Source organism: Homo sapiens, chromosome 6 (assembly GCF_000001405.40).
Source record: "Homo sapiens chromosome 6, GRCh38.p14 Primary Assembly".
NCBI classification, from domain to species: Eukaryota; Metazoa; Chordata; class Mammalia; order Primates; family Hominidae; genus Homo; species Homo sapiens.
In genome coordinates this window covers 110,854,015-110,880,288 of record NC_000006.12, presented here as the reverse complement: position 1 = coordinate 110,880,288, position 26,274 = coordinate 110,854,015, and the positions used below count along the sequence as shown (strand labels likewise).

At 44.6% G+C, this 26,274-nt stretch overlaps 1 protein-coding gene and 3 pseudogenes across 9 annotated transcripts in view, besides 7 other annotated features; all 4 read right to left on the bottom strand.

The window, feature by feature from the left end:
• AMD1 (adenosylmethionine decarboxylase 1) overlaps window positions 1–26,274 on the bottom strand; it is an 81,097-nt gene that overhangs the window by 15,425 nt on the left and 39,398 nt on the right. For 6 of the 9 annotated variants that reach the window (NR_171681.1, NR_109768.2, NM_001393406.1 and 3 more), the window contains exon 1: window positions 5,074–5,504. The exons of 1 other annotated variant lie outside the window; for it this stretch is intronic. Coding sequence is in view for 3 of the 8 variants with exons in the window: in NM_001634.6 (NP_001625.2) it covers window positions 5,074–5,183 (110 nt within the window). In the remaining 5 variants the exon portion in view is untranslated. Of the gene's footprint in view, window positions 1–5,073; window positions 5,506–26,274 lie in introns of those variants that run through there. 2 more of the 9 variants (NM_001287214.1, NM_001287216.1) reach the window with 1 other exon arrangement.
• Window positions 3,652–4,366: an enhancer, noted in NCBI's record as "H3K27ac hESC enhancer chr6:111197126-111197840 (GRCh37/hg19 assembly coordinates)". NCBI's record gives its function as "activates a minimal SCP1, AML or CMV promoter by ChIP-STARR-seq in naive H9 embryonic stem cells {active_cell/tissue: H9 hESC(naive)}" and the evidence as "EXISTENCE:reporter gene assay evidence [ECO:0000049][PMID:30033119]".
• Window positions 4,330–4,519: a silencer, noted in NCBI's record as "silent region_17471". NCBI's record gives its function as "represses an Ori minimal core promoter by ATAC-STARR-seq in GM12878 lymphoblastoid cells {active_cell/tissue: GM12878}" and the evidence as "EXISTENCE:reporter gene assay evidence [ECO:0000049][PMID:35858748]".
• Window positions 4,330–5,082: a biological region, named in NCBI's record as "H3K27ac hESC enhancer GRCh37_chr6:111196410-111197125".
• Window positions 4,367–5,082: an enhancer, noted in NCBI's record as "H3K27ac hESC enhancer chr6:111196410-111197125 (GRCh37/hg19 assembly coordinates)". NCBI's record gives its function as "activates a minimal SCP1, AML or CMV promoter by ChIP-STARR-seq in naive H9 embryonic stem cells {active_cell/tissue: H9 hESC(naive)}" and the evidence as "EXISTENCE:reporter gene assay evidence [ECO:0000049][PMID:30033119]".
• Window positions 4,550–4,619: a silencer, noted in NCBI's record as "silent region_17470". NCBI's record gives its function as "represses an Ori minimal core promoter by ATAC-STARR-seq in GM12878 lymphoblastoid cells {active_cell/tissue: GM12878}" and the evidence as "EXISTENCE:reporter gene assay evidence [ECO:0000049][PMID:35858748]".
• Window positions 4,680–4,929: a silencer, noted in NCBI's record as "silent region_17469". NCBI's record gives its function as "represses an Ori minimal core promoter by ATAC-STARR-seq in GM12878 lymphoblastoid cells {active_cell/tissue: GM12878}" and the evidence as "EXISTENCE:reporter gene assay evidence [ECO:0000049][PMID:35858748]".
• Window positions 13,589–13,883: a silencer, noted in NCBI's record as "tiled region #678; HepG2 Repressive non-DNase unmatched - State 2:TssF". NCBI's record gives its function as "represses a minimal TATA promoter and a strong SV40 promoter by Sharpr-MPRA in HepG2 cells {active_cell/tissue: HepG2}" and the evidence as "EXISTENCE:reporter gene assay evidence [ECO:0000049][PMID:27701403]".
• RBISP4 (RBIS pseudogene 4) lies at window positions 15,838–16,429 on the bottom strand (annotated as a pseudogene).
• Window positions 20,845–22,085, bottom strand: CNN2P9 (calponin 2 pseudogene 9; annotated as a pseudogene).
• On the bottom strand, window positions 23,767–23,872 carry RNU6-1115P (RNA, U6 small nuclear 1115, pseudogene; annotated as a pseudogene).

Below are 26,274 nucleotides of genomic sequence, written 5' to 3'. Positions count from 1 at the left end.
GGGGTCAATATCCAAAGCAAAAGACACACCTACACACAACTCAACAAAAAGTGATTAAAAAATGGACAAAGGGACCAGGGGCGATGGCTCAATCACTTGAAGTCAGGAGTTCAAGACCAGCCTAGCCAACATGGCGAAACCCTGTCTTTTACTAAAAATACAAAAATTAGCCAGGCATCGTGGTGCATACCTGTAGTACCCACTATTAGGGAGGCTGAGGCAGGAGAATCATTTGAACCTGGGAGGCGGAGGTTGCAGTGAGCTGAGATGGCACCACTGCACTCGAACCTGGGTGACTGAGACTGTCCAAAAAAAAAAAAGACCAAGAACTTAAATACAGAAGGATCCCATTAGTGCAGGGTTATGCTCTAATCACCTGAAAACTCAATACATAGATGCTATTCCCATACCCAGTTAGGTCAGACACTTTCTGAGGATGATGCCTGCAAATTTTTATTTGAAAAGCTTCCAGGTCATTAGATTACTCATTACTTCCTAATGTAAAACCAGCTGGTTTCAGAGTTCAGGTAATTTATCCAAAGTCACTGCAGCTTCTCAATTCTGCTCTTACCTCATATTTTTAGGTCTGTTTTAGAGGCTCTCATTACAGTACATTCATCAGGGTGCCTCTACCCCAGGTAGTAAGCAGTCTTTAGGTAAAAGGCATCCTAAAACCAGATCATTCTTGAGTAAAGCTAGACTGACCAGAAGTTAGATTCTGAGGGTGCCTTCCTGCGGCAGTGAATTCAGATAACCTGAGAAATAAGCCTCCTCCCTTTTGTTCAAAGATATGAACCTATTATCATCACATTATTGTTTCTCTATCTCAAATTTTTACCCCAAATCGGGATACTCCTCTCAGTTTTCTGCTACTTTCAACATGTGCTTCTTAAAGATACATGGTTTGTAAACAACAGTTGAAATATTTTCGTTGTTGTTGAGAGGGTTTCACTCTGCCACCAGATGGAGCGCACTGGTGCAATCTCATTTCGCTGCAGCCTCGATCCCCCAATGGCTCAAAAAAATCCTCCCACCTCAGCTTCCCGAGTGGCTGGGATGCAGACACGCACCAGGATGGACCAGCACGCACAGATAATTTTTCAATTTTTTTTGTAGAGTCAGGATTTCACTATGTTGCCCAGACTGGGCTCTCAAACTCCTTGGTCTCTCAGAGTGCTGGGATTAGACATGAGCCACCAAGCCCAGCCATGAAACCTTTTTGAAACTGCTGGGAGGAATGTAACGAGAAGCTTTATTCTTTAGCAGGAAGCATTTCTACTCTGAAACATTACACTAAAAGGTTTTTTGGCAACGGGTTGTAAATTCCTTCAATGTAAATTATTGATATTGCAATAATGCTGCATAATGATGTAGTCAAATAAGTCATGAGTTTGGGGAAAGTTAAGCTGAGGTATGACTATCTTTACAACTGCCCCAATCCTTTACTAAAAATTATGTTTTAGTTTATAAAATCTGAGTAAAGCACAGTAATAGGATTTCCAGTCCTGAAAAATCATTCTTTTCTCAGCAAAATTTTCTATTTTCTAACAGATTTCCTTCTTACTACTCTCACCCTCCCTAAAGCTGCCATGTCTTATAAAAAGCTTTTGTTTGTTACAGCACTTTGATCCAACAACTAAACCATTTTTTAAATGGTCACTGATTTTTATTCAACATCCGTAAAATCTGAAAAATCAGAGAAAACTGCAGGTTACCCCTAAGAAACCGCCTCTCCCTTAATTGTCCTTTATTCATCTGGATATACCTGGACTGCTGCTTTTCTCCAACAGTATTGTTTAACCCAAGCTATATCATAAAAGATTTTTCTTTGTTAAATTTCTCAGTATTACATAATTTGTTCACTTAAGATAAAATATCTTAAATGGTCTACAAGAGGGAAGCAGTGTTTAGTAAAAAGGTGTACATTCAGAAAAGATTCCAAGCATTAAAGCTTGGACTGATGAGCCAAGTTTGTTTAAAGTGTATTCCCTCACACCACACACAAAATCAATTCCAGATGGATTGCAGATCTAAATATGAAAGGTAAATATCGTGTAGGAGAAAAAAATATTTCAGACTTTGGGATGAGAAAACCGAGGGAAGTATGTTGTTTCCCAGAAGAATGCGTGAAAAAAGTTGGATATTTTCTCCCTTGAATTATACAGAACACTCCAGTGAAATCATCTGGGCCTAGATGATTGACTGATTCAAGTTATTTAGGTGTTCTAGGACTGTTTTGGGTTCTCCATTTCTTCTTGCATTAGTTTTGGAAAGCTATTTTTCCAGGATTTTTTTCTCCCTCATATCCTTATCTTGTTATCCTTGTCTTTAGCATCAATACTAATGCTCTCTTTGGACATTTAAGCCTTTCATTCTCTTAATCGTTTTTATGTCCCTATGTTTATTATGCTTTATAAACAGATTTGTTTAATTCCATCTGTTCATCTTTTAACCTACTTTTAGTTTATTCACATCTTAATAGAGCCCAGGAGGTCAAGGCTGCAGTGAGCCATGATCCTGCCACTGCACTCCAGCCTGGGCTATAGAGGGATCCTGTCTTTAAAGTGTTAAAGATAACAGTTTACGTACTACATATAACATATTAACTTATTTATTCTTCACAACTTCCATGAGCTATGTACCATTATTGTCTCCATTTTACAGATGAGGAAACAGCTCACACAGCTATTAAATGCTGTTTGAATTCAAATCTTGTTATTCCAGAGGCTATGCACTTAATCACGTCATTTGAGTAAAACATGTCACGCTTTATTCTTCTAGATGACCGATTATCCTTCCCTGGGGTCTCTGGGGCTGGCCCCATGTCCCCACCGACCGGACTCCGTCCATGATACTCTCTTTGCTAGGCTGTTGATTTTAGGTGATTCAAGGAACACCTACTATTTCAGGCTTTTTTAAACATCCTGGTAAATAACCTAACCACTTGAGTGGTCACTGAAAAATGTTCCAACGAAGGTTATCACGGGACCTTAGTTAAATCAACATATTTTTCAGTTCTTGCTTAACTTGCTTTATCTACAACAGTTACAATGTGGCAGTGTACTACCAATAGTTGTTCAATGAATGTTACATGTCCACAAAATGGATGGCACTAAATCATCTACACAAGGGAATATTTTGTCCTTCAAAGTTTAACTTTGGCCATGATTTTAAAAGCCACACTGGAGCAGTAAAACAATTTGGGCTGATTAAAGTACAAAGTAAAAAGGGTTCTTAAACATTTAAAGAAAGCAGGCTGCTTTGTAAAAAGCCTCTTCCTCCTCTCTCCACTTTGACTCAGGAAGCTCTAAACAGCCAAACCGCCAAGAACTTGGGGAGAACAAAATCTTCTTCCCTTTATTAAGAACATGTACTTACTATTATTTAAGGGCTCAAACATTTAAAAAGCCAAAGTGACAACTTCTGTTATTCGTTTTCTAGGACTGTTCTTACCCAAGATTTTCTAGGTTCTTGCCAAGATTTTCTAGGTTAATTATCCTGATCACAATCGTTTTACCAAACGTCTATCACAAATACCATCTTTCTCATCTGTGAAATGAAGGAAATACTAAGCTTCTCCATGACCAAAGTCCGCTTCCTATAATCTCACGTGAGCCTGGCACGTAGTAAGCGCTATAGACATTTTAAGTGTCACACGAAGCTTGAAAAAAATGAGACGTGTGACATTTTAGCTATGACTAGTATTTTTTTCTACAATGGAATCGTTCAAGATACACTGCTAGAAACCGGGTTTCCCGTCGTGCCTTAAAGTCTCGGTAGCACGTGTCTGCCTGGATTCCCTTTTCCAGTTGCTTTTTGTCAAGGGACAGCTCCAAGAACAGCTAACACTCCTAAAACGCCCATTGGTCCACACCCTGGGGCCAGGCTCTGAGTGCGGCCCAGGAGCCCATTGGTCGCCGCCTCTCAATGAAGCTGGCCACGCCAGTTACTCCGCTGCACCGCCACCCTAGCCGCACTCGTGCGCAGAGGAGCCAGGGATCCGGTGGCAGGGCCTAGGAAGGCCATTGGTGGCCACCGGTGCGACCGCCGCCAGGAACAAGGCCTAAGCATCCACGGGATCTCTGGGCTTTTATATAAGCATGGATTTCCACAGCAATACCAACTAAAACGCCTCTTCGGCGCGGTCAGCCCAAGTATCTCTCGCGTGACGGCCCGCAGTGGGAGTGGGCCCCAGATTCCTTTGCTCAAGCTTAAGGCATTAGAGGCATTATGTCCTGGGGCAGGCGGGCCTCCCTCCACCCGCACCTCTCCCGCCCCGCTCCGCCGGCTCCGTAGCAGGTTACACAACCCAAGGTCAAGAGATTGGGGAGCAGCCCCCAGCGGCCTCAGCGGCCGTGTCGAGGGCGGCCCCGGGGACTGCGCCGTCTGCCCAGCCGCCCCGAAAAGGCTCTGGCGCAGAGCATGTTAGGGGAGCGGTGGGGCCCCGCCACTGCGACATAACTGCTCCCGCCCAATCCCCGCCGCCCGAACGCCACATGCTGCCCGCGGCCGCCGCGGGTGGGAGGCCTCTTCGCCAGCCCCTCAGACAAGGCCGGGAGGGCCCCTCCTATCCGCGCCCGAGGCAAGAACAAGCGCCGCTCCCGCCCTCCATTCCCCGAAGCCGGCACGCCCGAATTAGCGCCTGACTAAGCCCGCCGAGCCACACCTGCCGGAGGCAACCCGCGCAGGCGCCCCCGACCCCCACCTGGGGCCCCTGCCGCCAACTACTACGGAGGGAAATGTCGGGAGGCGCGGGCCGCAAAACCACCCCGGGCCGCGCCGCCCGCCGCCCAGCGCGGGACGTTACCTGAGCACGCGGCCGCGCCGGCCTCCTCCCCTCCCCCAGGGCAATGCCAGGCGCGGCAACCACGGCGGGAGAAGCCGGCTCCGGCCCGCGTGGACATGGCCGCTCTCCCCCAAACCGCGCACCTTCCAAGGCCGCCGAAGCGACCCCAGGCCGCAGACTTGCCCCCAACTGAAAGCTGAGGGAACTCGGGCTCCACCCGTGGCTGGTGCCTCGGCGGCGGCGACAGCCCCCAGGCCCGGATGTCAGCGAGCGCCCCGGGGACCCACCTTGGGATAGTGCGAAGATCCCCAGATCCTTGGTTTGCGTCGGGCTGCTGCCGGGAGAACCAAACCTCCAGCAGCTTCTCGGTCCCTTCGAAAAAATGTGCAGCTTCCATCACCGTGAGACTAGCGAACAACCAACAACCACAGAAAATCAACTAAATTAAACCTCTTCTCCCGCCGCTGCCGCCGCCGCTGCGGATTGTTCCAGCTGTGTTACTAAAGTTCAGGTTCCTTTTTTTTTTTGCTATAATTTTATATTAACTTTTTTTAAAAAAAGGACTAATAAAATTTTCCCGGCTTTGTGTGAGCGAAAGTTGAACGTGAGTCTTTTGGAAATAGAGGCAGATACAGTTCAGTCTCTTGTATTCCGCTGCTTTCCCGTTAGAGAGAGTAGAGCGAGCGCTAGCTAATGTCGCCGGCCATACTGTGTAAGCGAGAGCGCTGCGTGAGCACCGCCCTTATATATCCCGGCTCCCCCCAAAAGACCAGGAAGTGACGCATCGTCCCACCTCCACGGCCTATAGCTGCTGCCGCCTGTCAATCACTCGCGGCCGAGTGGCGGCTGGCTGGCCGAGGGCCTGGCGGAGAGCGCGGGGAGCTGCCCACTGCGCTGCGGCTCGGGCTCTGGCCGGCTCCTGAGTGGGAGTTGGTGCTGTGATGTCCAGCTGGGGACTAGAAACCTCGGATCGAACGCAGAGTGGGTGGGGAGAGCGGGAACGGAATGAGGAAAGGCTGTGCAGAGCTGTTTAGAAAAAAAAAATGATTAGCAGAAAACATGGGTGGGTCCTTAGGGGTGTTGGCGGGGTTCAGCGGGGACGGTGGCCAGCGCTGGGTTGGCGTGGTGGTTTTGATCTTGTGCAGTTCACCGCGACTGCTGAGGTACTTGGCCATTCTTAAAAGTGTGTTTTCCCAAGGCGAACGCAGCCAGGCGTTAAAACTAAACATTTGTCCGTGACGCGCACGTTGCCAGGGGTCGAATTAGAAGGCGCTTTAATTCTGCTCACGCCTTGGCTGATGTGCGAATGAAAGCAGTCCTCGGCTGGTTTATACAATAGCCAGAAGCATTGTCTTCCTATTTCAGAAGAGAAAAGCAACGTGGCGCCCAGCCTTGGAGGGCCCCGGCTTTACCCACCTCCCACCGTGTGGCTCGCCATGCCTCCGAATTGGCTGAGCACAGCAGCCTCCGGGAAGCACTGGCAGCTCCGTTGCTCCATTAGCTCAACTGGTGGGAATTTATTCAGCAAAACTACTTCTAGAAACTGAATGTGTTAAATATAATCTGAACTTATTTGATCATGTTTTTCTTTGAATTTTATCAAGCTGATGTATTAATTGATGGAGGTTCTCCTTACCCCCCAAAATTTACAGTGCTATCTTCCCATGTGCTTAAGAAGGATTTACCTGGAAATTAATAAAACAGGGATTCCAGAGCTATCACTGGTGGTAACTTAAATAACTATCAGTCTAATATTTTATAAGTGTTAAGTATAAAATAGTCGTCAAGCCATGGTCAAACAGTTTAACCTCAGATGGCAAAACTGGTAACAAAGTTATTACTTTTACTTGGGAATATGGGAGGAAAAAAACCCAAGCTGACATAAAAATTGCTATTGTCACAAGACAAAAGGACTTTTCGCTATCATCCTTAGAAAAAAACTTTCCCCAAAGTGAAATAAGATGATGTCAACATGAAAAATCCACTGAAAAAGACATGGTTTGGGTTTGCACTCTAGATACCCTGTAGAATAGCTCTTGTCTTACAAGAACGTGGTTCACGTGTCTCCGTGAAACCTGTTGAAAGAAGCTATGTTGTGAGCTAGGTACATAAACTACTCTTGCTTTGTTTTGTTTGTCTGAGACGGAGTCTCGCTCTGTTGCCCAGGCTGGAGTTCAGTGGCGTGATCTCGGCTCACTGCAACCTCTGCCTCCTGGGTTCAAGCGATTCTCCTGCCTTAGCCTCCCGAGTAGCTGGGATTACAGGTGCATGCCAACACACCCGGCCAATTTTTGTATTTTAGTAGAGACGAGGTTTCACCATGTTTGCCAGGCTTGTCTTGAACTCCTGACCTCAGGTGATCTGCCCACTTCGGCCTCCCAAAGTGCTGGGAGGCCACCGCACCCAGCCCTCTTGCCATGTTTTATAAGCATCCAACTCAAACTGCGGATTGGGACAAAAGATAATAAATGTTGCTTATTTTATAATGATAAAAGAATGTGGTTACTCTACTTGGAATAAAGATAAAAGAAGTATTTCTGTGTTTTACAAGCTGTTCAATTATTTGATGGTTCTTACTGAAGAATCTGCCTACTAAACCACCTCAAACACTAATTGTGGTATAAACATAATTTGGCTTATAATTGCTTATAATTAGTTGCTTCTCAACTACTATTATGCTTTTTTCCCAGTGCAATTTAAGTTAATATAAAAGTGCCAAGAATCTTGGCAAAGTAAATCCTTATTAATTTGATATAGGATAATTTAAATAGTCTACCAACTGGATTGGTCCTTTGTAAAATATATCATTTTTCTTGTTATCTTGAAGCTCAAAATTCCTTGTATACTCTGGTTTCTCTTCAGATCATAGAAATAATAAAAATAAAAATCCCTTGTACTAAGTTGGTTAATCTTTGCTTAAATATTTTCCTGAACTCAATATGTCCAAAATACATTTACCATTATTTCTAAAATGATTTCCCTTCTCAGCCCCATTTCTATCAAGAGTGACCATCTTTCCCCCAGATTTCCAGTTTTTTAAAAATGCCTCATTGGCTATAGCACTTTGCACATAAAACACTTAAAGGACTCCCATTCACTAGGCCTTCTTAAGATACCTCTGATTGTACATCTTCCCTTTATTCTCTTTAGTAATCATTCCTATTAAGATCTTACTCAAATTTTAAAAAAATCCTTACTTGACCCCACTTCTACCTTCAGTTATCACCGAATTTCTCTGCTTCCCTTAACAGCAAAACTCCCTAAAAGATGTAAAGACATGTCTATATGTGTGGTCCCTACCTCCTCATCTCTCCTTCAAATTCTCCAAATGGGTATTTATTCCTAGCACTTGACTGAAATGGCAATTCTCAAGGCCCACTTTTTGCCAAAGCCAGTGGTTGCCAAAGCCATTGAGACCAGTGAATGGTCTCAATCCCCATTTACTCAATCTTTCAATGGCTTCTGACACAATTAACTATGCCTTCCTTCTAGAAAAAAGTCTCCAGGCTTTCGTGACATCTCTCTTTTTTGGTTTTCCTTGGAAATTTTCTTCCCAATGCTGCAGTGCTCTTGGCTATGCCTGTGTCCTCTTTTCTACATACATTTTCTCCCTAGGTGACCTACCTCATCCAGTCCATGGCTTTATGACCTGCCCATAGTATTAATGACTTTCAAATTTATATCTCCAACCCAGACATCTCCCTTGAATTTCAAACCTTTGAGACACTTGCCTGACTACTTGAATGCCTAACAAGCATATAGAAGCTAACATTATTAGAAAAGAGCTGTTACTTTTCACAGCAAAATCTGCCTCCTCCCCACAAAAGCAAAACAAATTACAAAAACTCAGCTGTCTTCAACTCAAGCTTTCCACTGACCTCTTTGTCTCCACTCTTATCTCTTCTTACCTCTTTATGGTCCACCCTTTACACAACAAATCACCTCGTTATACAGCAGTTGCTTAAACTCAAAATCATCAATGATTCCACTCTTTCCTGCATTGTCCTACATCCAACTCATCATTAGCCTTGTTGATATTTCTAAAACATTTCAAGAATTTGTTCTCTCTGTCTTCATTTCTACCACCACCCTAGTTCAGAGCACAAAATTAGCTCCCCTGAACTATTGCAGTAGCTTTCTAACTATAGTAGTGTTTGTCTTCACTTTGCCACCTCACTTGGTTTAACACAGAGCAGCTAGAGTGATTTTTTTTGTTTTAATTTTTTAAATGTCTCCATAGCCCAAGATGGAATGATGTTTTTAAAAAATAAGCCCAATTATGACACTTATTAAAATTCTCCAGGGGTTTCCCATTACAATTGAAATCAAAATTTCTTACCCTGGCCTTCAAACCCTTATTTGATTTGGTCCTGAATTAATTATCCTCCAACCTCATCTCTACCATTCACTTTCTGTACTCCATCCGTACTGACCTGTCTCCCTTTAGGTCATTTTCATTTATCTGAAATGCTCTTTCTCTCCCTCTTGGTATGGCTTATTCATTCTTGTCATTTAGATCTTAGCTTAAATGTTGCCTCTTCTGAGAAGTCACTAAGCTACTATAGCAAAGAGATCCCCAAATACAATAACTCAAAGATTAAGGTTTATTTCTCTCTCACATAACAGTACAGAGGTAGACAGGTAGTCTAGGGTGAGTAGGCAGCTCTGTTCCATGAGATCATTCAGGGAACCAGGTTCCTTCTAACCCATTTTGACCATAGAGTAAAGTCTTTATTCTCATTATTGAAGCTGGCTTAATCTGTCCACAGTCTAGCCTGGAAGAAGAGGAAAAAAAGAAAGGAACAAAAACCACTTTCCTTATAAAAACAAGATATGGAAACTTTTTTTGTTGTTTTTGTTTTGTTATTGTTTTTGTTTTGAGGCAGGGTCTCACTCTGTCACCCAGGCTGGGGTGCAGTGGCTCCATCTTAACTCACTGTTGCCTCAACTTCCCCGGGCTCAAGTGATCCTCCCACCTCAGCCTCCCACGTAGCTGGGACTACAGGCAAGTGCCACCATGCCTGGCTAATTTTTGTATTTTTAGTAGCGACCAGATTTCACCATGTTCCCCAGGCTGGTCTTGAACTCCTGGACTGATGATCTGCCCACCTCAACCTCCCAGAGTGCTGGCATTACAAGTGTGAGCCACCACACCTGGCCTTAGATTCAATTTAAAGTGACCAAGTAGTGTGCTGGAACTGGCTTCCTACTGTTTCTGAGAACTAATCGTTACACTCTCAGAAATTTGGGGAGTCAGTTGACATCACAGTGGTGGTTTGAAAGCAGCCATGTTGTGAGCATTTACATCAGTGAAATTGGCAAACTACAATCAGGGTTCTCCATACCCTCAGCTGGGTGATTGTTAAACACTTACCGGTTGTTAAACGTTTACCAGCATGCCTCTGGTTTCACAAATCTGTCACATTGATGGTGTTAAAAACATGGTTTTCTTGGCCAGGCACAGTGGCTAATGCCTGTAATCCCATCCCTTTGGGAGGCTGAGGCGGGAGGATTGCTTTAAGCCCAGGAGTTCAAGACCAGCCTGGGTAACATAGCGAGACCCCCCATCTCTATTTAAAAAAGAAGAAAGAAAAAGAAAACATGATTTTCTCTAATGTCAATGCAAGTTTTACTGCCCAAGGCTGTTGTGGGACTTCAGAGATTATAAGTGAGAAAAATGTTTTAGAAACTGTAGGCCAGGTGTGGTGGCTCACGCCTGTAATCCCAGCACTTTGGGAGGCCAAGACTGGTGGATCACCTGAGGTCGGGAGTTTGAGACCAGCCTGAACAAAAAGGAGAACCCCCGTCTCTGCTAAAAATACAAAGTCAGCCGAGCGTGGTGGAGCACGCCTATAATCCCAGCTTCTCGGGAGGCTGAGGCAGGAGAATAGCTTGAATCTGGTAGGCGGAGGTTGGGGTGAGCTGAGATCACACCATTGCACTCCAGCCTGGGCAACAAGAGTGAAACTCTGTGTCCAAAAAAGAAAAAAAAAAAAAGAAACTGTAAAACATCATGTAAAGATACAGTACTGTTACTGCAAAATACAGAAGAAATAGAAGCTAAAGTAATGGGCTGGGCGCGGTGGCTCACGCCTGTAATCCCAGCACTTTGGGAGGCCGAGGCGGGCGGATCACGAGGTCAGGAGATCGAGATCATCCTGGCTAACACGGTGAAACCCCGTCTCTACTAAAAAATACAAAAAAATTAGCCGGGCGCGGTGGCGGGCTCCTGTAGTCCCAGCTACTTGGGAGGCTGAGGCAGGAGAATGGCGGGACCCCGGGAGGCGGAGCTTGCAGTGAGCCGAGATAGCGCCACTGTACTCCAGCCTGGGCTACAGAGAGAGACTCCGTCTCAAAAAAAAAGAAGCTAAAGTAATGAAGAAAGAAACAACACTGTAATGCCTCAGATTACATTGAATTACATTAAATTTTTTTTTTTTTTTGAGAACGAGTTTCGCTCTTATTGCCCAGGCTGGAGTGCAATGGCGCAATCTGGCTCACCACAACCTCCGCCTCCCGGGTTCAAGCGATTCTGCTGCTTCAGCCTCCCGAGTAGCTGGGATTGCAGGCATACGCCACCACACCTGGCTAATTTTGTATTTTTTTTTTAGTAGAGTCAGGGTTTCTCCATGTTGGTCAGGCTGGTCTTGAACTCCTGACCTCAGGTGATCTGTCCACCTTGGCCTCCCAAAGTGCTGGGATTACAGGTGTGAGCCACCGCGCCTGGCCTTGAATTACATTAATTTAAGTTTAACTGTGAAACAAAAGTAACTATGTATAATCTGTCCCAAAAGCTGTTTGTCTTCTTTGGTGTAACTAATATGGATAGAGGAGATATACCAGAAGTGAAAATATAATTTTATTTGATAAGACTCTCCTCAATGTTCAGTACTGTATTTCAGTTTATCAGACATAGGTGAAAGACAAGTAACAGAAGGAAGTGAAACTAATAAGAGAGAATAAAAGGCTCAGAATATAACACATTTAGTGATAATGTTTCCCAGGATGAATTAAATATTTAACAGCAGATATAAGATTAAAAATAAGAAAAGACGTCCGGGCCCGGTGGCTCACGCCTGTAATCCCAGCACGTTTGGAGTCCAAGGCAGGCAGATCATGAGGTCAGGAGATCAAGACCACTCTAGCTAAAAAGGTTGAAACCCTGTCTCTAATAAAAATACAAAAAAATTAGCCAGGTGTGGTGGTGAGCGCCTGTAGTCCCCGCTACTTGGGAGGCTGAGGCAGAAGAATGGCATGAACCCGGGAGGCAGAACTTGCAGTGAGCCGAGATCGCACCACTGTACTCCAGCCTGGGTGACAGGGTGAGACTCTGTCTCAAAAATAATAATAATAATAATAAAATAAATAAGAAAATACAGGCCAGGTGTGGTGGCTCACACCTGTAACTCCAGCAGTTTGGAAGGCGGAGGCAGGAGGGTGACTTGAGGCCAGGAGTTCCAGACCAGCCTGGTCAACGTAGCCAGACCCATCTCTACAAACAATAAATAAATAAGAAAAGATGAACAATGAACTTAATGGAAATGGACAAGGCCATTTATAAGCAATGTGGTTGACCATTGTCCTAGCAAAATATGCCAATGTAATTTTCCATTAGTAATTACTCATTTTCATCAGTAATTAAATATTCAGTAAACAAAGAATTTGTAATGTGCTGTTTGCAGATTTTATGTGGTTCATGAACACTTTCATTATTTCAGTTTTAAAATATTTAACCAGACAGCCTCTATGAATGTTTTTAAATTTATTTTTTCTTTTGAAATTTTTTTAACTGCTTTTGAATTCTGCTTTCGTATTTACTTTTTTGTTTTGTTTTGTTTTGAGTGAGAGTCTCACTCTGTTGCCCAGGCTGGAGTGCAGTAGCACGATCTTGGCTCACTGCAACCTCCACTTCCCTGGTTCAAGCGATTCTGGAGCTTCAGCTTCTGGAGTAGCTGGGACTGCAGGCACCTGCCAACATGCCTGGCTAATTTTTGTATTTTTAGTAGAGATGGGGTTTTGCCATGTTGACCAGGCTGGTCTCTAACTCCTGACCTCAAGTGATCCCCCCTCTCAGCCTCCCAAAGTGCTGGGATTACAGGTGTGAGCCACCACACCTGGCCTGTATTTACTTTTTATGTTATAATCTCAACTATACTTATTCTGTTATTTAAATGATTAAAAAACTAATTGGGCTAGCACAGTGGCTCATGCTTGTAGTCCCAGCTATTTGGGAAGCTGAGGCAGGAGGATTGCTCGGAACCCAGGAATTTGAGGTTACAGTGAGCTATGATTGAGCCACTGTACTCCAGCCTAGGCAAGAGAGCGAGAGAGTCTCTAAAAAAAAAAAGAAAAAAAGAAAAGAAAAAGTAATTGTTTAGAAAGTGTTGTTGGGCCAGGCCCGGTGGCTCACGCCTGTAATCCCAGCACTTTGGGAGGCCGAGGCGGGTGGATCACGAGGTCAGGAGATCGAGACCATCCTGGCTAACACGGTGAAACCCCGTCTCTACTAAAAATACAAAAAATTAGCTGGGCACGATGTTGGGCGCATGTAATCCCAGCTACTCGGGAGGCTGAGGCAGGAGACTAGCTTGAACCGGGGAGGCGGAGGTTGCAGTGAGCCAAGATTGCGCCATTGCACTCCAGCCTGGGCAACAAGAGTGAAACTCTGTCTCAAAAAAAAAAAAAGAAAGTGTTGTTGGAGCTCAGAAACCGATACCACCATATATGGCTTGGTGAACTGAGGAAGTCTCAAAGTCTCTCTGACTTACACCCCTCCCTTCCCCCACCCTCTGAAAAACAGGAGTTCCTTTATCTTCCTAAGATCCAGACCATCAAAAAAAATTAATTTTTTTCTCCTCCCTGGAAGGCCAGGAATGTAACTACACCTGAACATAGCTTTTCACAGGATCATGTACAGTTTAATCCCTGTTCCCTAATCCATTCATTCTCCCTAGTAATAGAATTATTTTCCCTACTTCCACAACCTGTTTTGCTAGCGTGGTCTGTAAGCTTCTGAATCACAATGGGGGTGGGCGATGACTTGTGATTTTCCTCTTGTGCTCGTTGTGTACTTGTTAAATAAATTTGTATGCCTGCTCTTCCATTAAACTGCCTCATGACAGTGATTTTCAGTGAACCTTCAGAGGGCCAAGGGGAAAGCCCTCTTTTGATCCCTACAGTGTATAAAATATGAATTAAGGTGCATGTTAAAAAACCTTTACATTTCCATTTTATATTACATTTCCATTATTTTATGGAAATTGTAAAATAATCAGGAAATTATTTTCAGATATTTCCAAAAGCTGTATTTCCTGTAACCTTGATTATCTATTAAAACTTTAAAACAATCAATAAATGAACTAAAATTAATAAAACTTAAAATTAAAATTATGTAGATAAGGCTGAAGTTTTTTAATTTAATTTTTTGAAAATTTAATGAAGGCCAGGCATGGTGGGTCACACCTGTAATCCCAGCACTTTGGGAGGCCGAGGCGGGCAGATCACCTGAGGTCAGGAGTTCGAGACCAGCCTGGCCAACATGGTGAAACCTCATCTCTACTGAAAATTCAAAAATTAGCTGGGCATGGTGGCAGGAACCTGTAATCCCAGCTATTCAGGAGGCTGAGGCAGAGGAATTGTTTGAACCCAGGAGGTAGAGGTTGCAGTGAGCCGAGATTGCACCACTGCACTCTAGCCTGGGCAACAGAGTGAGACTCTATCTCAAACAAAAAAAAAGAAAGAAAGAAAAAAAGAAAATTTAATGAAAGCTTATTAAACATTTTAATAGAATTAAACTATCTGCAATTTGGGCCAGGCTCAGTGGCTCACGCCTGTGATCCCAGCACTTTGGGAGGCTGAGGTGGATAGATCACCTGAGGTCAGGAGTTCAAGACCAGACTGGCCAACATGGTGAAACCCTGTGTCTGCTAAAAAATCCAAAAATTAGCCAGGCATGGTGGCACACGCCTATAATCCGAGCTACTCGGGAGGCTGAGGCAGGAGAATTGCTTGAACCTGGGAGGTGGAGGTTGCAGTGAGCCAAGATCACGCCACTGTGCTTCAGACTGGGTGACAGAGTGAGACTCAAGAAAATAAACAAACAAAAAAAACTATCTGCAATTTTAACATTCCATGTCCCTTTTGCTACAAATGTGAAGAATCAGTATCATACTTTGTTACATCTATACAAACATTTAAGAATAATATAAAATTGCTCAGTTTTGCAAAATGTTCCTCAGCTACCCATCTGAAATTTCATCCTAATTTGTGGGCATCTCTGGTGTCCTAAGAAAAGCAAGAAAATGCTTGACACTAGGAAAAGATACTCTATTAAGCCAAAAGCTATTGCATTCACACTGAGAGGAAGAACTTATTTGACAAGCTAATTATTTTGTCTTTTATCTGTTTCTGCTGTTTGGAATCCTCCCCACATTCCAAAGCAAGGTCTTTCTCCTACTTCAACAGCTGCAGAAACCATAAAGCTTTATGGCATTTGTATTCGGTTGCCTTTTGTTTTGTAGACATAGAGCAAGTGATGTGAAGTGTTTCCCTGGGGTCTAATAGGTGTTATTTCCAGGAGTGGATGTTTAAGTTTGTAAGTCATACAATGCCAGCCTGTATGCTGGATTCCAAGTAACAAAGGTATCTGTGTGTTATTTTATAAACGCATTTTGGCATTTATTTGTGACAAGCCAGGTTAAGGGCAGGGGCCCCTCTTGCTGTGTCTAGGGGTGATGCTAGTCAGAGTTTACAAAATGAAGTCACAGAAACTCCCAACACTTCCCTAGTCTTTCTAGGCCACTGGTAGACAAAGTTAGAAAGTTAAGGGGTCCCATTAATCACTATTGTTGGGGTCCGACCCCATGATTGGGGTTCCACCAATCACTATCTCAAAACATCTGTCAGATTGAAATTTAAAAGCCCATGTTTTCTGAGGACAAATATTTATACAAATTCAATTACTGAGTTTACTGCTCATAGTAAGATTTTTTTGTATAAAACATTTATAATTTATTGGTCTTTTGGGGGAATTAGATGCTTCACCACTGTATTACAACTGAGCCATTATTTGTAGCTTCATCAACATTAACTGGTTCACTTTAATGATGCACTGAGGAATTAGTTCTTCCTGCAGAGATTTTTTTAAAAAGGACTTTTGAGAAGTGTGCAGGTTCCTTTTGTATATTTACAAAAGCTTTATTTACTCTTAATTTTTTTGTCATTTATAATGTTTATCTTCTTAAAATTAGTGGTAACTCAGGCTGGGTGTGGTGGCTCACATCTGTAATCCCAGCACTTTGGGAGGCCAAGGCGGGCGGATCACCTGAGATCAGGAGTTCAAGACCAGCCTGGCCCGTCTCTAATAAAAATACAAAATTAGCTGGACATGGTGGCGCACACCTGTAATCCCACCTACTTGGGGGGCTGAGGCAGGAGAATCACTTGAACCCAGGAGGCAAAGGTTGCAGTGAGCAGAGATCACACCATTGCACTCCAGCCTGGGCAACAAGAGCGAAACTCCGTCTCAAAAAAAAAAAGATTAGTGGTAACTGGTTTTGCTTTGTTTTTGGCCTTCATGTTTTTTTGGTTGGCTATGTGAAATACATTCCTGGACTTCTGCCCTCTTTATTTGTTCTTGGCTATTGTCTCTCACCAGGCCTTCAATGAACTTCTTAAGCTCCAGGTGATGCCATTTGTTTCATGGTAAGTTTTTAAGTCAAGTGTTATGGGAAATAAGTTCTTTAGAATATGTAATTTATAAATTCTTGGAGAAATCAGCCCTACACACCCTACCTTCTCAAAGTCTAATGTGTAATTATAGAAAGCAGAATCAGGCCGGGCGCGGTGGCTCATGCCTGTAATCCCAGCACTTTGGAAGGCCGAGGCGGATGGATCACCTGAGGTCAGGCGTTCAAGACCAGCCTGGCCAATATGGTGAAACCCCGTCTCTACTAAAAATACAAAAATTAGCCAGGTGTGGTGGCAGACGCCTGTGATCCCAGATACTCAGGAGGCTGAGACAGGAGAATTGCTTGAGCCCAGGAGGTGGAGGTTGTAATGAGCTGAGATTGTGCCTCTTCACTCCTGCCTGGGAGACAGAGCGAGACTCTGTCTAAAAAAAAAAAAAAAAAGCAAGCAGAATCAGGTTTATGTTTCCCAGAGTTAGGAAGCTTCTACTTTGTAGAAGTGAAGTAGCCCTAAGTAAAAGACATGTATCTACAATCGAGACTCATTCCAACTTAAAAAAACGAACTTGGGGGCCAGGCGTGGTGGCTCATGCCTGTAATCCCAGCACTTTGGGAGGCCGAGGCGGGCGGATCACGAGATCAGGAGATCGAGATCATCCTGGCTAACATAGTGAAACCCCGTCTCTACTAAAAATACAAAAAAATTAGCCGGGCGTGGTGGTGGGTGCCTGTAGTCCCAGCTACTTGGGAGGCTGAGGCAGGAGAATGGCGTGAACACGGGAGGCAGAGCTTGCAGTGAGCCGAGATCACGCCACTGCACTCCAGCCTGGGTGACAGAGTGAGACTATGTCTAAAAACAAACAAACAAAAACAAACAAAAACAAACAAACAAAAAACTGAACTTGGTTTTCCTATCGTGAGGACCACAAGTCCACAAGCCAAGAGTCTGCAATCAGTTTGTAATGCTTCAAGCTTAAATACTAATGTCAGATATTTGAGGAGAGCCTTCAACATTAAAGAGAGAGAAAGATAAATCAAAGTAAATAGGCCGAGTGCAGTGGCTCACGCCTGTAATCCGAGCAGTTTGGGAGGCCGAGGCAGGCAGATCACTTGAGGCCAGGTGTTCAAGACCAGGCTGGCCAACTTGGTGAAACCTCACCATCTCTACTAAAAATACAAAAATTAGCCAGGCGTGGTGATGCGAGCTGGTAATCCCAGCTACTTGGGAGGCTGAGGCATAAGAATTGCTTGAACCCAGGAGGTAGAGGTTGCAGTGAGCTCAGATCTCAACACTGCACTCCAATCTGGGCAACAAAGCAAAACTCTGTCTCAAAAAAAAAAAAAATAAGTAAATAGGCAAAAAAGGAAACCAGAGGAAACAGAAATAATGCAGGAAGTAGAAGGAAACTTCCAAGGATAAAAGACCATCATTATACCCCATACAAATAAGAGAAAGCACTCTATCCATTAAAAAAAAAAAAAAAACAGAACAATCACACAAAACCAGAATACTATGAATAAGGAGAATTCAGAGAACAAAAAAGAATGCTAGGAAATTAAAGCTAGGATTGCTGAGATTTTTTAAAAATTGGAGACTGGGCAACATAATGAGACTCTATCTCTACAATATAATAAAAAAATTAGCGAAGTATGGTGGCACCTGCCTGTAGTCTCAGCTACTCCTGGGAGAATCACTTGAACCTGGGAGGTGGAGGTTGCAGTGAGCCAAGATCACGCTACTGCACTCCAGCCGGGGTAACAAAGTGAGACTCCATCTCGAAAAAAAAAAAAAAAAAGATTTTAAATCTTTAATAGGTCACAATCAAAGAACAAAGAATCAGAATGCATTGAACTTCTCAACAGCAACATTGGAAGATTAAAGACAATGGAGCAACACCTTTAACATTTTGAGTAAAAATTATTACTTTATTTTTCATTTTGTTTTATTTAATCTTTTTTTTGTGTGTGTGATGGAGTCTTGCTCTGTTGCAAGAGCAAGTGGCTGGAGTGCAGTGGCGCAATCTTGGCTCACTGCAACCTCAGCCTCCCAGGTTCAAGCAATTCTCCTGCCTCAGCCTCCTGAGTAGCTGGGATCACAGGCATGTACCACCACGCCTGGTTAGTTTTTGTATTTTTAGTAAAGATGGGGTTTCACTATGTTGGCCAGGCTGGTCTCGAGCTCCTCACCTCAGGTGATCCATCCACTTTGGCCCCCCAAAGTGCTGGGATTACAGGCATGAGCCACCGTGCCTGGCCTATTTTATCGTATTTTATTTTATTATTTTATTTTTTGAGATGGAGTCTCACTCTGTTGCCCAGGCTGGAGTGCAGTGGCATGATCTCGGCTCAGTGCAACCTCTGCCTCCTGGGTTCAAGTGATCCTCCCACCTCAGCCTCCTGAGTAGCTGGGACCACAGGCACACGCCACTACATCTGGCTAATTTTTTTTTTTTTTTTTGAGACGGAGTCTCACTCTGTCACCCAGGCTGGAGTGCAGTGGCATGATCTCGGCTCACTGCAAGCTCTGCCTCCCGGGTTCATGCCATTCTCCTGCCTCAGCCTCCCGAGTAGCTGGGACTACAGGCGCCCGCCACTACGCCCGGCTAATTTTTTGTGTTTATAGTAGAGACAAGGTTTCACCATGTTAGCCAGGATGGTCTCGATCTCCTGACCTCGTGATCCGCCCACCTTGGCCTCCCAAAGTGCTGGGATTACAGGAGTGAGCCAGCGTGCCCAGCCCATCTGGCTAATTTTTGTGTTTTGTGTAGAGACTGGGTTTCACCATGTTGCATGAACTCCTGACCTCAAGTGATCCACCCGCCTTGACCTCCCAAAGTGCTGAGATTACAGGCCTGAGCCACTGTACCCGACCAGCCAATTAATAAAAGCAAGGGATCACCACAAATTTAAAAATCAGAAGTAAAATGTGATTGTTCTCTCTCTCTGTGTGTGTGTGTGTGTGTGTGTGTGTGTGTGTGTGTGGGTGGGTGTTTTGTTTTGTTTTTGTTTTTTTTCTGAGATGGAGTCTCGCTCTGTCACCCAGGATGGAGTGCAGTGGCATGATCTTGGCTCACTGCAACCTCCACCTCCCGTGTTCAAGGGATTCTACTACCTCAGCCTCCCAAATAGCTGGGACTTACGGGCACATGCCACCAAGCCTGGCTCATTTTTGTATTTTTAGTAGAGACGGGGTTTCACCATGTTGGGCAGGTTGGTCGCGAACTCCTGACCTCAGGTGATCCTCCCACCTTGGCCTCCCAAAGTGCAGGGATTACAGGCATGAGTCACCTTGCCCAGTATGTGTGTGTTTTTTTTTAATCACATAGAATGGTATTATAATTAGGGCAATAGAATGAAAATATTAAAGAATTGTTTAACTTCTGTTTATGGCTTATTCTGCACTCTTCTTATTTGAGAAAGATAAAAGCTGGAATAATTGGAACAATAAACTATGAGTATAAATATATTATTTCTCAGGATATATATATATCTTTTTCTTCTTACCAACAGAGGTTTTACTGCGTTTGGTCCACAGTCGTATTTCACATTATCTCATGGGGTAGGGCCCCTGGGTGGGGGTCCCTGTGCAGTACTCGGTGGGGCGTGTGGCCAGGGGAGACGGAGCAGTATAACTGGTCAGGCCCAGAAGGGGAGAAGGAGGGCTGGAGGCTCCTTAAAACCTACTGAGGGGCTGGGCATGGTGGCTCATGCCTGTAATTCCAGCACTTGGGGAGGCCAAGGTGGGCGGATCACCTGAGGCCGGGAGTTTGAGACCAGCCTGGCCAACATGGTGAAACCCCATCTCTAATAAAAATACAAAAATTAGCCAGGCGTGGTGGAGCACCTATAGTCCCAGCTACTTGGGAGGCTGAAGCAGGAGAATCACTTGAGCCAGGGAGGTGGAGGTGCAGTGAGCCAAGATCGCACCACTGCACTCCAGCCTGGGCAACAACAACAACAACATCAACAACAACAAAACCTACTGAGGCCACAGTGGAGGGGGTGGTTAGCATGGAGAAGGAGTCAGGCTTAGCCCCAACAACGCAGAATTCCACTTCCTTCTACGGGCCTCACTTTCCTCACCGGGCCCCAGGGCAGGTCTGAGGGTCTGAGGTCTGTTGGTTCTAGGGAAATGCAGCCACTTGGGAGCCTGAGATATTTAGCATTGTGGCCAGGCCCCCTTTCCCAGGGCACTCATTTCCCAGCACCCTCTCCACTGTCCCCGCCCCATTCCTCGGGGAAAAAAAAAAGTATTTTTCTTTTGTTAATACTTCCTGAAACTTTTGCGGGTACAGAAACCACAAACTGATTGGCTGACACAATGGGGAAGAGACAAGGGAACCGGAAACCTTCGGGGACTGGGTCCCTCCAAGCCCAGGTCTCTTCTCCCCAGCACTGCTCGGCCCACAGCCTGGACGTGCCAGCAGGGACCTTTACCCTACACGTATGGGGATACGGCTTTGACCCCTTACCCCACAGCCTGGTGGCTCAGTCCTGCGAAGGACCAAGGCAAGGGGGAAGAAAGACCTCCCTGATCCCACACCGCCACTCACAGACCCTGGGTTGATTGGCAGCACTGAACAGGTTAAGAAAAAAAAAGATGAAAACACAGAAAAACCCAGAAACTCAGACGGGGAGATGATATGGGGAGAGAGCGTGCTGGGAGCCTCAGTAGCCAGCCTCCTCCTGGTAGTAAGGGGGATATTCAGGGACCTCCCCCGAGCCTGCGCGCCCGAGGGAGCCCTGTCGGCCACTGTGCCTTCTGGGCAGAACTTGGGGTCATGTATCTGCCGGCCCAGGCCAAAGACCTGGCCGCTTTGCTTGGCGCCCTGCGTGTAGCCCATCTGCAGCGACATGGAGGAGTTGTCACACTTGTCGGTTCCCAGCTTGGTGTCAACCGGGTCCCGGAGCCGTCATGCCCACCTGGCTGGCACACTTGTTTGTACCCATCTGGAGGCTGATGGTTAAGTTGTCCATGGGGGGCAGGATGTGGTTCTTGGGGTCGTAGAGATGCCTCCTTGTGCTGTACGCGGTCATGCCCGACTGGCTGGTGCATTTGTTGGTGCCCATCTGCAGCCCGATGGTGCACTGGCCAGCCTTCATGGTGGCGTCGTCGAAGTTCGGCTCCTGCTTCTCCGAGTACTTAAGGCCGATGTCCACCCCGCTCTGCAGCCCCTTAGTCCTGGCCTTACTCACCAGGGCGAGAAGAGACACCTGCAGCTGCGTCATGTTCCCACTCTCAAACAGGTCGTTGGCATCGAACAGGTCCACGGTGTTCATGCCGTAGCTGACCATGGCCTTGATGAAATTGGAGAGGTTTTCTAGTTGGTGCCAGTTCTGCATGGAACGGTTGATCTTGAGGACTGAGCCCGGCTGTAGCTTGTTCATGAGTGTCCATAAACTAATCCCGTCCTTCAGGCCCTTCTGGAAGTCGGGGCCGATGGAGAGGCTGGTGAGTCCCTCGATCCAGCTGCGGAGCTCTACCTCCTTCTGGGGGTCATATTTGCACAGGAGCCGGTTCTTGATCTCGGCTGACAGCCCGTACGAGGGGTCCTTGTTGAACTGCGTGGAGCTCATGGCTGGCGCGCGCTGCGGCAGGATGGGATGGGACGAAACAGACGGCCTGGCAGGCGCGGGGCTGGGACGCACTCCTCTAGGGATATTTTTATGTGGTCTGGGCATGGTGGCTCACAGTTGTAATCCCAGCACGTTGGGAGGCCAAGATGGGAGGATCACTCGAGTCCAGGAGTTTGAGACCAGCCTGGGCAACATAGCAAAACCATGTCTCTACCAAAAAGAAAAAAAAATAATAAGTTATTGGGGCCTGGTGGCAAGCGCCTGTAGTCCCAGCTACTTGGGAAGCTGAGGGGGAAGGACAGCTTGAGTTCAGAAGTTCTAGGCTATAGTAAGCTATGATCAGTCTACTGCATTCCAGCCTGGGTGACAGAGCGAGACCCTGTCTCTAATTCAATCAATCAATCTATAGTGATATATATGTATATATATACCATCTATATATATATACCATCTATATATATATATATACACACCATCTATATATATATACCATCTATATATATATATACACACCATCTATATATATACCATCTATATATATGCCATCTGTATATATATATATGCCATCTGTATATATATATACCATCTATATATATATACCATCTATATATATACCACCTATATATATACCATATATATATATACCATCTATATATATATACCATATTATATATATATACCATCTATATATATATAACTTTTTTTTTGAGACAGAGTTTCACTTGTTGCCCAGGCTGGAGTGCAATGGCACAATCTCGGCTCTCCACAATCTCCACCTCCCCAGGTTCAAGCGATTCTCCTGCCTCAACCTCCCGAGTAGCTGGGATTATAGGCATGCACCACCACGCCCAGCTAATTTTGTATTTTTAGTAGAGACGGGCTTTATTCATATTGGTCAGGCTGGTCTAGAACTCCCAACCTCAGGTGATCCGCCCCCTTGGCCTCCCAAAGTGTTGGGATTACAGGCATGAGTCACTGTGCCCGGCTATAGTGATATTTTTATGTGGAGCTGAAGAACAAAAGCTATTCTGTTATCTGGACATAGGTTTTAGTTGGTTATTTATTTATTTTTTTGAGACAGAGTCTCTCTTTGTTGCCCAGGCTGAAGTGCAGTGGCAACAATCTGTGCTCCCCGCAACCTCCGCCTCCCAGGTTCAAGTGATTATCCTGCCTCAGCCTCCCGAGTAGCTGGGATTACAGGTGCCCGCCACTACACCCAACTAATTTTTGTATTTTTAGTAGAGATGGGGTTTCTCCATATTGGCCAGGCTGGTCTTGAACTCCTGACCTCAAATGATCCACCTGCCTTGGCCTCCCAAAGTGCTAGGATTACAGACGTGAGCCACTGTACCTGGCCAGACCACTCAAATTTTTAATAAACCAAACTATATGTGCCACACACAAATCCTGCCTTTTTTGGAATAAGGAAAATTAGCTGATATGATCTGACCCTTCTTCCCTCCAGAGCCTGAACCTCCAACTTGAGAGATAGAGACTGAAAAAGTCCAACTTAGAAAGTCCATTTCAGCCTATTTGGTGTCTAGGAATTTGAGATACTAATTGTCTTCTTCCTACCCACTTCCCCATCTCAGAAAATCTTCCCTGCCACAGAGTCCTTGGCAGGGGCAGCTATGCTACTTACCATTAGACCTTGTCTCCCTAGCCACAGCTGATGGGATCAGAGAACACCTAATCCATTCAGATGCTTTTCCCCCCCTTAACATGGGATGACTCACAAATCTGGGTGTCATCCTTGCGTAGTGACTATGCTTATCTTCTCTGTATTGGTCCAATTTTAGTATATGTGCATTTATACGAGCACCAATCCAATTCTTTTGCTTGCTAATTTGAACCCAGAGACTTCGACTTTGAGTAACTAGCTCAGTGGAGGACACCAGAGCTGGAGAGTCAGGTAGTGTGAGGAGTGGCAGCCATTTTTTTTGATGTATGCATGCTCATAAATGAGGAAATCCAGTCATCAGAGATAAGCCATAGCCTGGATGTGTCAACAGATGCAGCAACTGTACAATCCCAGAGAAAGGTGGAGAGAGTAGTGGTCTGACAACTTTGACATCTGTGACCTCTACTTGGGATCTGTGATCTTCCCCTCTGGATTTCTGATCATCCCCTTTTAATTAATTAATTTTTATTTATTTTTTGAGACAAGGTCTTGCTCTGTTGCCCAGGCTGGAGTGCAGTGGTGTAAGCATGGCTCAGTGCAACCTCAACCTCCCAGGCTCAATTAATCCTCCTACCGCAGCCTCCGGAGTAGCTGGGGCTACAGGCATGTGCCACGATGCTTGACTAATTTTTAATTATTTTTGGAGTTGGGGTCTCGCTATGTTGCCAGGGCTGGTCTCCAACTCCTGGACTCAAGTGATCCACCCTCCTTGGCCTCTCAAAGTGTTGGGATTACAGGCATGCATCACTGCGCCTGGCTCATCATCCCCTTTTAAGTTGGGTTAGGATACCTTTCTTTTACTTGTAACCAAAGAATACCTGATGGAACAGTTTTTAAAAGTCCATTTTTGTCACTCTACCTTTTTGCACCTTTCTCTCAGCCTCCAGATCCTACGGATTCCCTGTAATCTGTATAAACTGGTCGGGAGCAGGGAAATAGGGAGAAGACATTTCCTTGAAATGTCCTAGACAAGAGACACCTGCATCCTTCTAGATGCAGGAATTCAGGGGTTCTTCAAGCCTCAGCCTGGCTTGCAGCAGTTTTGGCAGCCTTTGGAAGGCACCAGATGGTCAGCCAAGTGATACATAATCTATGTAACTTTATGCCATTTATTACTTTATAATTGTATCAAACTATAATTTGTAAGCAAATTTTGTTTAAAAGCTATTAACTATGTTTTTCTAATTGTTTTGGTATACTTTTATAAAACAAGGCTATTAAATCCTGGTTGCAGGTTCCTAACCATCAATTTTTTGGTAGATTTAATATATAGTATATAGTTACAGAGTTTTAAGTACATGTGGAAATTTTCAGAAATTTCTCATTTATTTCTTTGATCTCAAGGTTCTTAAAAAGCTGGCATAGGCCAGGCATGGTAGCTCATGCTTGTAATCCTAGCACTTGGGGAGGCCAAGGCCAGAGGATCCAACAAGGCCAGGAGTTCAAGAACAGCCTGGACAATTCTCTCAAAAAAAAAAAAAAAAAAAAAAAAGAGAGAGAGAGAACTTTAAGCCATGCAATTAGAGAATGTGAAGATAATCTACCCAAGTAGATATTTATAAATAAACCTAACCTTCTCATTTTCCACATAACTAGTTTAGCATTATTTATTTGAAATCCACAATTGTAGTTTTCAACTCAGCAAAATCTCATATATACTGTGTATTTAGCACTATGTAATAAGAAAGCAAAAAATCAGGATCCTTCAAATATTACATACATAAAATTTATGAAACTAGGAGTTGCTACATTTCAATATAAACTCAATTAACGAATTTTTTTCCAGAGAATGTAAGAATTACAAACATTTGGCCGGGTGCGGTGGCTCACTCCTGTAATCCTAGCACTTTGGGAGGCCGAGGCTGGTGGATCACCTGAGGTCAGGAGTTCAAGACCAGCCTGGCCAACATGGTGAAATCCCATCTCTACAAAAATACAAAAATTAGCTGGGCATAATGGCAGGTGCCTATAATCCCAGTTACTTGGGAGGCTGAGGCAGGAGAATCGTTTGAACCCGGGAGGCAGAGGTTGCAGTGAGCCAAGATCGTACCACTGCACTCCAGCCTTGGCGACAGAATGAGACTCCGTTTCAAAAAAAAAAAGAAAGAAAGAAAAGAAAGGAGTGATTCTTTTATCCTTTGTACTCATTTGTTTTCCTTTTCATGCACCTTGCTGCCCTACATAAAAGTTAGTTGTAACTCATTTAAATTAAGGTCTCCAGTGTGAAGTGGTGTATTGCTTAACTGGACAGGGCTGTAACCTGAAGTGTAAGAAGGGGAGTGTCCCCATTTCCCAACACAGGTCTTTAGCAATAAAGGTGTGGTACCACCAGTGCTAAAGAATACTATTCTAGTTAAACGTGTTTGTGTTCTGCATCTTCCATTGTGCAGTACACTCTATTATTTATAAATTCTAATCCTTTAGTAAAGAAAAAAAGTAAGAAAGAAAAACAAAAACCACCACCCAAAACCAAAAGCCATCTACAGGCTTTGAAAATTCCTGGACATAAAGCATCAGTCACTGGATTTTCCTTCACCCCTGCC